Raw genomic sequence first — 12,477 nt, forward strand, 5'->3', positions numbered from 1 at the left:
GAACAGAATTTAAAATAGAGATAAATGAGTTAACATGATCAGATTTTGCATTCTTTAACAAGCCAGTTGTAAATATTAAGAGTCCCGCAATCAGGACTTAGGGACCGTAGGAAAAATTTATTATGTAAAGTATCTTTTTTTTTCATATTCTAGCCAGATTTCTTTTTTAAATTCTGAATATTTTAGGACAATTGCTGCTGCTTGTAATTATAGTTTGGAAAAGATGGAGTCATAGGGTCTCATATAGAGCTGAAGGGAACCTTGGAAATCATTTTAGTTAAGTGTCTGGTAATAGAGTGGGGGAATTGACAGCCAAGTCCTCTGTTAAGATTGTTTACTGTATTTATATTTTTCCACTAAAAACAAACTTCTGAGTAGTGCACATATGCATCATTGTCTAAAGTTTTAGTTAGTATTCTCTGTATGAATAGTGGCTCTCAATATTTTTCTATTTTCATATTTCACAAATGTAAAATATATGGCTTTCAGAAACTCTTTAGCTGTTCAGATATGAGCTGAAACAATAAAAAAAAAATTTTTAAAAAGAAACTTCTGATTATGTGCATGGATGGGAGGTGGCTCAGAGGGTGGTTGTGTAGTTTCAGGAAATCTTTATTCCAAAGATTAAAATGGAGGAGCCTTAAGAGGCCAATACTCTCCAACTAAAAGAAAACAATCTGTATATTCTGTAGGATTAGGAGATCACAGATACTAGATTGTTTCAGCGTCTTACAATAAAAAGAATTCAGTTTTTCTAGTATAAATTGTGGCTTTTCTTTAGGATTGTAGGGTTTTTTTTTTTTGATTGGCAAATGTTTTATAATCCTAATGACCCATTATGTGCCTTATACCAATAGGAGTTATAAATGTTCAGGAGCTGGTGACTTAATTATAGCTATCCTTTTTTTTTATTATTAAGAGACCATGAGTACTATTTTAATTTTGTAAGAGAAAAAGTTATTGAAGTTATCTGTTGTCCTAACATTTTAATTGCTCTAAAATTCCCTCTATCAGAAGAAATGGAGGACAATTAAAAACATTTTGGATGGTGTTTTCTTTCTACTTTTTTTAAATTAAAGAAATATTTATTATAAGAAGGATTGCAAGTGATGCATAAGAAATTAAACAAGTGACAGCTTCTCTCACCCCAAAGAAATAAGTGTGATGCATATTACTCACTTGTGTAGTTTTTTGGGTTTTTGTTTGTTTAATGAGATATTATACCTGTGATTCTGTAACTTTCTTTTTGCATTTAACAATGTAAAATATCATTTCAGACCAGACGTGGTGGCTCACGCCTGTAATCCCAGCACTTTGGGAGGCCAAGGCAGGCAGATCACTTGAGGCCAGGAGTTTGAGACCAGCCTGGTCAACATGATGAAACCCTGTCTCTACTAAAAATACAAAAATTAGCTGGGCATCGTGGCACGTGCGTTTAATCCCAGCTACTTGGGAGGCTGAGGCAGAGAATCGCTTGAACCTGGGAGGCGGAGGCTACAGTGAGCCAAGATCATGCCACTGCACTCCAGCCTGGGCAACAGACCAAGACTGTCTCAAAAAGAAAAAAAAAAAAGTTGGATTTATTTTTTGGTGTATTAGTGAGCATTTTCTGTTTCCCAGAATGTCTCTATAGAACACCAATTCTGGGTCAGCTTTTTGGTTATTGACCATGCAAATAATGTTTTCTTTTTCCCCCTCCAGTGAATATTTATTGAGCATCTGCAGTGTCTAGGTTACCATGCTGGGCACTAGGGCAGAATGAAACTCTTTTATTTTAAAATGTATTTTACTTTATTTTAAAAACCTTTTTGTAGAGACAGTCTCACTTTGTTTTTTGTTTTTGATTTTGCTTTGAGATAGGGCCTTGCTCTGTCACCCTGGCTGGAGTGCAGTGGCACAATCACAGCTCACTGCAGCTTCAACCTTCTGGGCTTATGAGATTCTTCCACCTTGGCCTCCTAAGTATCTGGGACTACAGGGGCATATCACCACTCCCAACTAATTTTTTTTTTTTAATTTTTTGCAGAGACAAGGTTTTGCCATGTTGTCCAGGCTGGTCTTGAACACCTGAGATCAAGTGATCCGCCCTGCCTCAGTCTCCCAAAGTGCTGGGATTACAGGCGTGAACCACCATGCCTGGCTTTATTTTTAAATATGATGCTTATTTAGCTAATATTCATTTTCCTGCTTTTCAGAACGTTGGAATTACCTTTACAAGGTATAGCCTTTTCCAAAAACTTTTGTGTACTCTTTAAATACCATATAATAGCTAAATGAGAGTTGTTGAGGTATAAAACTTTGCAGATTTTCTTTTGGAAATGGTTTATTTCAGGAATATAAGACTAACATTGCAAATTTTATATTCAAGTTATCAAAATACATATTGGAGCTTTATTATAAATATTTGAAATTAAGCTTTTTGATACGTCTTTTAAATTGTGCTTTGTTATCTATAGATGTGGGGAGTAACTGAACTATTTCTGGTCAATTATTTATTCTGGATAATCAAGATTGCTTATCTATACTACAGTTTGAAAGGTTTAGATATTTCCTACAGGCTAGTTCCTATAAGCTCTTAAAAGGGAATCTTCCTTTGTACTGTATTAGAAGAAAACCCACAACTTACTTTACTTGCCACATGATGGCAGTCTTGCCTCTTAAATTAGGGGAAAGGCAGCCATCAAAGTTGATGGAAACTCGGATTTTCAGAACGATTGTTGCCAAAAACCTAAACTTTGGTAATCTTCAACTTGGAAGCAAGTTGTTTTTAAGTTTCATTTGTAAGTCAACTCTTTGTTGCTTGGAATACATTTTCCATGGAACAATGCTAAAAATGATGGGCAGTTTTCTAAATTAGCCTACAGAAACTTTTAAAGTCTCAATTTTTCCCTCCACTTACTTTAAATTTTATCTCATACACTTTTTTTTTTACTATTTTTACAATTGTGATAAAGTACATATAAATATAAAGATCACCAAACTTACCATTTTAACTACTTTCAAGTGTAGAGTTCTGCAGCATCAAATATACTAATTGTTAATGCAATAATAACCAGTATTTCCAAAGTTTTCATCACCGAAACAGAAGCTATGTACCCATTAAGCAATAGCTCTCCCCGCATTCTCTGATAATCCCTGATTTACTTTCTGTCTCTTTTAGTTTGCCTATTCTAGATATTTCATATAAGTGGAGGCCAGGCGTGGTGGCTCAGTTCTGTCATCCCGGTACTTTGGGAGGATCACCTGAGCTCAGGAGTTTGAGATCAGCCTGGGCAACATGGTGAAACCCCATCTCTACTATAAATACAAAAAAATCAGTCAGGCGTGGTGGTGTGCACCTGTAATCCCAGCTGCTGGAGGCTGAGGCGGGAGAATCACTTGAACCTGGGAGGCAGAGGTTGCAGTGAGCTGAGATCGTGCCACTGCACTCCAGTGTGGGCAACAGAGCAAGACTCTGTCTCAGAGAACAAAACCAAACCAAACACATAAAAGTGGGCCGGGCGTGGTGGCTCACGCCTGTAAGCTCAGCACTTTGGGAGGTCAAGGCGGGTGGATCATGAGGTCAGAAAATCGAGATCATCCTAGCCAACATGGTGAAACCCCATCTCTACTAAAAATACAAAAATTAGCCATGTGTAGTGGTGGGCGCCTGTAGTCCCAGCTACTCAGGAGGCTGAGGCAGGAGAATCGCTTGAACCCAGGAGGTGGAGGTTGCAGTGAGCCAAGATCGCACCACTGCACTCCTGGGCAACATAGTGAGAGCTTGTCTCTACAAAAAACAACAAAAAAATTAGCTTAATGTAGTGGCACATGCCTGTAGTCCCAGCTACTTCAGAGGCTGAGGTGGGAGGATCGCCTGAGCCCGGGAGGTCAAGGCTGCAGTGAGCTGTGATTGTGCCACTGCACTCCAGCCTGGGTGACACAGTGAGACCCTGTCTCAAAAAAGGAAAAGAAAAAAAGAAGTGGAATCATACAGTATTTTTCCTTCTGTGTCTAGCTTCTCTCTCTTAGCATGTTATGTCACCTATCAGAACTTCATTCCTTTTTCCAAGAACATTCCATTGTATGTATATACTGTGTTTTATTTATCCATTCTTCTTTTGATGGACATTTGGTTTGCTTCCCCCTTGTAGCTCCTGTAAATAATGTTGCTGTGAACACCGATGTAGAAGTATCTGTTTGAGTCCCTCCTACGCCTATTTGTAAAGCTGCTCTAACTCCTTTTTGAAACAAGTGGGAGCAGAAATAAGTGTTTACTCATGATGTTATTGTACTGGTCTGTGTTCTGGTTTGTAGAAGCTGTGGGCTTAGATAGTGCTGGAGGAGAAGAGGTGTAGAGATGTTTCCTTCCTCATTGTTGAACTGAGGGTCTAGGACTGGGCATAACTGGCCTTTCTGCACCTATTTTCTGCACACATTCTCTGTCGCCATCAACTCTGGCTTACGTCCCTGTCTTTTCACGTTATCCCTTTCTACTCTCAAGCTCCTTGCACCTTTTCACCCCATCCAGAAATCTCAGAACAGATAGACTTGGTGACGTGTGAAGAAATATGATACAAGAATTTTTTTTAAAAAGCATTCTTGCCAACATAAATGAATTGTGCTCCAGTGATTGGGATTCCACCCAGACCATAATAAATGATCTAAAGAGAAAGATATTTTAGTGCAAAGGACTGTGAAATAGATTGGTCTTACCTAGGGTCAGTTTCCTGCTTTTTACAGCTATTTTGTGCTTTAGAAATTATATGTCATCTAAAAGCATCAACATTTCTATAACATGGCTCCCACTAGTAGTAGTGAATATCCGAGAGGTGGAGTGGCTTTGGGCAGGGGAAGCCCTTTGTGTAGAATGATGTTTTATGAGCCAAGGGCCACCTCTCTGGATCTAGTATTTAATCAACAGTGAATTGGGAAAGATTATGTATGTATGTATGTATGTATGTATTTAGAGAAAGGGTCTTGCTCTGTCACCTAGGCTCTGTCTCCTGGCTCACTGCAACCTCTGTCTCCCAGGCTCAAGTAATCCTCCCTTCTCAGCCTCCCAAGCAGCTGAGACCATAGGCATGCAACACGATGCCCAGCTAATTTTTTGTGTTTTTTGTAGACAAGGGGTCTTGCCATGTTGCCCAGGCTTGTCTCAAACTTCTTAGCTCAAGCGATCCACCCACCTCGGCCTCCCCATGTGCTGGGATTACAGGTGTGAGCCACCACAGTATGGCCTATTTATGGAATAAAATGCCACCCCATATAGTTTTATCATTTATATTAAAATGTACATTTCTACCATATCTACCTGCTTTGAAATTCACCTGTGCCACTTGATGTCTTTTTGATTCCTGGGCCTTTTCAAATATATTTTCTTATTAAATCTTTTTTCTTTTTTTTTTTTTTTTTAGACAGTTTCCCTCTGTCGCTCAGGCTGGAGTGCAGTGGCGCTATCTCAGCTCACTGCAACCTCCACCTCCCAGCTTCAAGTGATTCTCATGCCTTAGCCACCCAAATATTTGGGATTACAGGCATGGGCCGCCACACCTAGCTAGCTAATTTTTGTATTTTTAGTAGGGACAGGGTTTCACCATGTTGCCCAAGCTGGTCTTGAACTCCTGGGCTCAAGTGATCTGCCTGCTTCAGCCTCCCAAAGTCTGGGATTACAGGCGTGAGCCACTGCACTCGGCCTCTTTCAAGTCTTTTCTCAGATGTCACCTTCTGAATGATGCCCACCATGACCTTCCTATTTAAAGTTGCAAGCATCTCTTGGCTGGTGGTTACACTTCTAGTCCCCTTACGCTGCCGTGTTTTTTTTCCTCCAGGTACAATTAACACTTTTTAATACGCCATGTAATTCACTTATCAGTTATTCTTTTTTGCTATTGTCTGTCTTTCCTCAGCAGAATCTCACCAGGGAAGGGATTTCTTTTCTCCCTGTTTTGTTTATTGGTGGACTGCAGAGTCCTAGAATAGTGCCTGGCACATAGTAGATACTAAATAAATATTTGTTCAGTGAATGCATGAATGAATTCTTGGTAAGGGGATACATGTGAAAACGTTCACTTGTTAATTTTATAGTTGTGGTTTAAAAGAGTTATAATAGTCTGGTGGTGGGCATCTGTAATCCCAGCTACTCAGGAGGCTGAGGCAGGAGAATTGCTTGAATTTGATAATCGGAGGTTGCAGTGAGCTGAGATTGTACCACTGCGCTCCAGCCTGGGCAACAGAGCAAGACTCCATCCCCCCGCCAAAAAAAAAGTTATAATATATAGAAATGTGATAAAATAAATTAACTATAAATTTGGGGTTGTAACTTTTCTTTTGTTTTAAGTTCCAGATATGCTTTCTTTTTCTAAATTTTCAGCTTCAGTTGTGGAGGGCCAAAAGGGTATCATTCTTCGAGCTATTCAAGAAATATTTCAAAGCATCTCTGAACATCCTAGCATTGACTTTAATGTGAAAGTATCTTATATAGAAGTGTACAAGGAAGACCTAAGAGATCTTCTAGAATTGGAGACATCCATGAAAGATCTTCACATCCGAAAAGATGAAAAAGGAAACACAGGTAAAGTAGCCCGCTTAATCAGTTGCCTTCATTCGCAGACAGACATGCTTTAATGCTTTAAGTTTCTGGATATATTCCAAGGAATCTTTAAAAACAGATGTAGAAGCAAAATGAATTTATTTTTACTTTTAAATTGAACAGCTTTATTATTAATCCCTCTCTTTTTTTTTTGAGATGGAGTCTCACTCCATCACCCAGGCTAGAGTGTAGTGGTGCGATCTTGGCTCACTGCAACCTCTGCCTCCTGGGTTCAAGTGATTCTCCTGCCTTAGCCTCCCGAGTAGCTAGTATTACAGGTGCGCACCACCATGCCTGGCTAATTTTTGTATTTTTAGTAGAGACAGGATTTCACCATGTTGGTCAGGCTGGTCTCGAACTCCTGACCTCGTGATCCGCCTGCCTCAGCCTCTCAAAGTGCTGGGATTACAGGCGTGAGCCACTGCTCCCAGCCTATTAATCTCTCTTAAATCACTCAGATGAAAAAGTAGTTCAGACTGGTTGGTAAGGTGAAGTTATTAATTTGTAATGCAAGATACTGAATTCCTATCGTTCCCCTCTAGACTCACTTCAGGTGAGACTGTGATATAGGCTAAATTTGTTTTTGTATCTTTTTTCCTCTCAGCTCTACCATGAGATTGGAGGTGGCTTTTGCTTTAAGTGTTTATCAAAGTTGACCCAGAACTTGCCTTTCTTTTCTTTGATTTTTGTCCCAGCACACATACTTCTTTTTTTAAAGTTGAGAGTTTATATTTTTGTTTTTTGATATTGACATTTACCTGTTTGTTTTGTTGTGTTCCTCAAGGTCTGACTTTCTGCATTAGTAGCCTGTTAATTTCATTAACCAATACCCATTTGTTGGAAATGGGAGAAGGTTAGAATGGGAGGCTCAAACTGCAAATATTTTAAAGAATAACAATTTATGCTTTTCTAGTTTAAAAGCTAACATGTTCATCAAGAGTATTTTCAAAACAGGAAAGTGTAAGGAAGAAAGTTAAAAGATTATCTTTAATTCTAGAGCCTAGAAATACCAACATCTCTTTTTGGTGGGTTTCCTTCCAGAATTATTTTTCTAGGTACATATAATTTATTTATTTATTTATTTATTTATTTTTTTTGAGACGGAGTCTTGCTCTGTCACCCAGGCTGGAGTGCAGTGGCGCGATCTGGGCTCGCTGCAAGCTCCGCCTCCCAGGTTCACGCCATTCTGCTGCCTCAGCCTCCCAAGTAGCTGGGACTACACGCGCCTGCCACCATGCCCAGCTAATTTTTTGTATTTTTAGTAGAGACAGAGTTTCACCGTGTTAGCCATTATGGTCTCAATCTCCTGACCTCGTGATCCTCCCATCTCGGCCTCCCAAAGTGCTGGGATTACAGGCGTAAGCCACCGTGCCTGGCCCATATAATTTTTTAAAAATATGTACTTGCAACCCTACACACAGTTTTGCATTTTATATTTCACTTAATATTTATATTTTGAATATTTTCGCACATGATTAAATATTTTTCATACTTGACTCTTCATGTTTATATGGTAATTTGTCTTATGAATGTGTTTATAGTTATTTAATATTCCATTGTTGGACATTTAGGCTGTTTCTAGGTTTTAACTATTATTAAATAATATTGCAGTGACTATTCTTTTTTTTTTTTTTTTTTTTTTTTTTTTGGAGACAGGGTCTTACCTCTGTCAGCCAGGCTGGAGTGCAGTGGCATAATCACAGCTCACTGCAGCCTCAACCTCATGGGCTCAAGTGATCCTCCTACCCCAGCCTCCCGAGTAGCTGGGACTAACAGGCACCTGCCACCACACCTGGCTAATTTTTGTATTTTTTTGTAGAGACAGGGTTTCACCATGTTGCCCAGGCTGGTCTTGAACTCTTGGGCTCAAGAGATCTGCCTGCTTTGGCCTCCCAAAGTGCTAGAATTACAGGCGTGAGCCACCATGCCTGTCCTATTCTTGGATGTCTTCTTCCCCTAAAAACCATATTTAGTAGAATCTTCCTGGAGATCCTGCCAGAGGAGGGAATTTCCTAGCAGCTAGGAAAGTAAGATGGCTTTAGTCATTCAAATAGCAGCCTACAGGAGGCAGCAAATCTTGCATCTTTATAGCCCCTGTCCTGGCATTCCTGCATGGTTGAAGAAATTGTTTTTGTTTTTGTTTTTTTAAGAAGAAACTATATATGGTAGCTTATGGTCTTATTAGATAATTCAGTACAGTTTATCTCTTCTGGATAAAATTCAGACTGATGTTTTGAGCTCCTTTATCTTATGGAATACAATTATTGAATGTTTTCATCTTTTATCAAAGAGTTACAAAAATAATACATGCTTCTTTGTAAAATATCAAGCAGAATAGAAGTATATACACTTCACTATCACTCTTGATAAACTTGATCAAAATACTTCATATCTGATATCAATGCTGAAAAAATTTTGGAAGGATGTTACAAATGATCTTAAATTACAGTATGTCTTACATAATGTCCCACTCACAAGTAAAGTGCATTTGTTTGACATATTTCTTTAGAATCTCTGTATGAAGCAGTGATGTCCATGCTTGCTGCCACACAATTAGTACACGTGGGAAGCTTTTTAAAAATACTGATTTCTGGGTCCTACTTCACAGGGATTCTGATTTAATTGGTCTGAGATGGTACCTGGGCATTGGCACTTTCTTTTTTATAAAGCTACCAGGTGATTTGCATCTGCATTCAAGAACCATAGTGCTAACTTATAGCCTAACATTGGAAAAATTTAATGAAAGTTTTACTATGACTTACAGGACTTTAAATGAACTGGGTTGTTTAAAAAGCGTCATGATGGAAATAATGAAACTGAAATGATTATTTTTTAAAGAAATAGTGATGTGACAGTATCTGAGTAAAGAGGAATTATGGCAATATAATTTGAGCATGAAATCAGGAGCTTTCCTTCTCTGATTCAATTCCTAAGTCCACCTACTTCTCTTTGAAATATTTTTGGATATAGGCCGGGTGCGGTGGCTCACGCCTGTAATCCCAGCACTTTGGGAGGCCGAGGCGGGTGGATCACGAGGTCAGGAGATCGAGACCATCCTGGCTAACACGGTGAAACCTCGTCTCTACTGAATATACAAAAAAATTAGCCGGGCGTTGTGGCGGGTGCCTGTAGTCCCAGCTACTCGGGAGGCTGAGGCAGGAGAATGGCGTGAACCCAGGGGGCGGAGCTTGCAGTGAGCCAAGATCGCGCCATTGCACTCCAGCCTGGGGGACAGAGCGAGACTCCGTCTCAAAAAAAAAAAAAAAAAAAAGATCCCACTTGCGTCTCTTACTTCCTTCTTTCTACCCTCCCCTTTCATATTGCTTCCTGCTCACAATTCATACCCTTCTTGGCTCCTCTTCCTTTCTCCTTCGGTTAAAGTGTATTTTAATTTGTTATATTTATTAAATAGAACTCGGTGGATCTGGTTGTCAATTTAGAGACTGAAAATAAACTTGTTTCAGAAATAAAACTTAAGTTATCTTTTACTGAGTTTTTCTCCCTTTGTCGGTCAGTAGTTCTTGAAAGAAAAAATTACTTCATCTCTTGTGTTTGGAGTATAGGTTTTTAAAAAAACCAACAAATTAGCATATTTATTAATGTTTAAGGAATGTAGGCATGTACATGTATACATGTTATATGTACATGTATTGAGTTCAGATTTACATTTCCCCGCTTTTCATTCAGAAACTATTGTGTGAAGATTGTATGTCGTGGGAATAGTGGAGGACAGGACACACCTAGTTACTGCTTGCTTGGGTGGAGTTTGCAAGCTAGTGAGCAAATGAATGGTCCTTCAGTTGTTCCTGAGATAACATGGTTCCCAGCTTCCATGGTTCTGTCCATTTTTCAAAATAGGAAAACTTAAAAAGATAGCTTTTTAGTTAAAAAGGAAATATAGTTAAGTATATTTCCTTTTTTTTAGGCTCTAAGCTTATTTCTCTATCTAGCTAGAAATATTTCCTCAAAGCCTTTTTACATGTAATATTATAAAGAAGGCATTTGTATTATCCTCTGTTGCAGCAGTGCTCAAGTTCTCAAACTTTTTGATCACAGGATGACTTCTTTACACTTTTAAAGCGAGATCCCTCAAAGAGCTTTTGTTTATGTGGGTTATATCTATTGATATTTACTGTGTTAGAATTAAAACTGAAAAAATCTAAGCTATTTATTCATTCAAAACTAACAGTAACCCAATTACATGTTAATATAAAGGGCATTTTTAATGAAAAATATTTTCTAACAATTTTTTTTTTTTTTGAGATGGAATCTTGCTCTCTCGCCAGGCTGGAGTGTGGTGGCGTGATCTTGGCTCACTGCAACCTCCGCCTCCCAGGTTGAAGCAATTCTCCTGCCTCAGCCTCCCGAGTAGCTGGGACTATAGGCACATGCCACCATGCCCAGCTAATTTTTGTATTTTTGTAGAGACGGGGTTTCACCATGTTGGCTAGGATGGTCTCCATCTCTTACCTCATGATCCGCCCGCCTCGGCCTCCCAAAGTGCTGGGATTACAGGCATGAGCCACCGTACCTGGCCAACACACAAAAAATTTTAGTAAGAGTAGAATTCCTTTACATTTTTGCAAATCTCTTTAACATCTGACCTAATAACAGAAAGTTGGATTTTCATATCTGCTTCAGTATTCAGTTTGTTGCAATATGTTTTGGTTGAAGTTTGTAAAGAAAATTCAGCCTCATAATTGCATAGTTTGAAGGGAGGAGTATTTCACTGATTTTTTCAGATAATTGTGGATGTTCTTCTTTCCTATTACACCAAACTCAACAAGCAGAAATTTCTAGTTACTTGAAATATGAGATTTGAAACTATCTTGTTACATTAAGATCGGTACATTAAAATGTACTAGTCTCAGCCAGCACAGTGGCTCATGCCTGTAATCACAGCACTTTGGGAGGCTGAGGCTGGAGGATTGTTTTGAGCCCAGGAGTTTGAGACCAGTCTGGGAAACAAAATGAGACCTGTTTTACAAAAAATCAAAAAACTAGCCAGGCATGGTGGCATACGCCTGTGGTCCCACCTACTCGGGAGGCTTAGGTGGGAGGATTACTTGAGCCCAGGAGTTCAAGGCTGCAGTGAGCTATGATTGCACCACTGCACTCCAGCCTGGGTGGCAGAGTGAGACCCTGTCTCTAAAAATAAATGAATAAATAAATAATAGCATAAAAACAGGTAAGGTAATACTTCTTAAATCTTTTTTTTAGTTCTTTTTTTTTCTGAAAGGTAATAACTGTCTAGGTAGAGCAGGCCCTTCCTCATTAGTATAAGAAACTGGTGGAACAGGAAGTACTGGTAATTGGAAGCTTGAATGTTGGGACACATATAGGAGTTGGTTTATATAGGAGTTGTGATATAGATATATATATATATATATATATATATATATATATATATATATATATATATATATATATATATATATATATATCAATCACAGTTTCTTTATCCATTCGTTGATTGATAGGCATTTGGTTTGGTTCCACAATTTTGCAGTTGCGAATTGTGCTGCTGTAAACATGCGTGTGCAAGTATCTTTTTTGTATAATGACTTCTTTTCTTCTGGGTAGATACCCAGTAGTGTGGGATTGCTGGATCAAATGGTAGTTCTACTTTTAGTCCTTCAAGGAATCTCCACACTGTTGTTCATAGTGGCTGTACTAGTTTACATTCCCACTAGCAGTGTAGAAGTGTTCCCTGATCACCGCATCCACACCAACATCTTATTTAGTGAGATTTTTAAAATGCCAAGCCAATATGTGGAATGAGGCTCTCGACAAATAATTTTCTGTTTATTTCATTTAAAAACTACTTTATTATTTACATATCCCAAATGTACTTAAAAATCGGCAAATTTACTAGAAACCAAAAAGTAAAACTGTTTAATCATTTT

General features: G+C 38.6%; 1 pseudogene across 1 annotated transcript in view, besides 1 other annotated feature; it reads left to right on the forward strand.

Annotated features, from left to right (window-relative positions):
• The window catches only part of LOC389765 (kinesin family member 27 pseudogene), a 36,878-nt pseudogene that overhangs the window by 10,526 nt on the left and 13,875 nt on the right, over positions 1-12,477 (forward strand). The window contains exon 3 of the transcript NR_029410.1: positions 6,353-6,553. The product of NR_029410.1 is annotated as a kinesin family member 27 pseudogene (transcript). The remainder of the gene's footprint in view (positions 1-6,352; positions 6,554-12,477) is intronic.
• Positions 2,458-2,959: an enhancer, noted in NCBI's record as "NANOG hESC enhancer chr9:88433900-88434401 (GRCh37/hg19 assembly coordinates)". NCBI's record gives its function as "activates a minimal SCP1, AML or CMV promoter by ChIP-STARR-seq in naive H9 embryonic stem cells {active_cell/tissue: H9 hESC(naive)}" and the evidence as "EXISTENCE:reporter gene assay evidence [ECO:0000049][PMID:30033119]".

Source organism: Homo sapiens, chromosome 9 (assembly GCF_000001405.40).
Source record: "Homo sapiens chromosome 9, GRCh38.p14 Primary Assembly".
NCBI classification, from domain to species: Eukaryota; Metazoa; Chordata; class Mammalia; order Primates; family Hominidae; genus Homo; species Homo sapiens.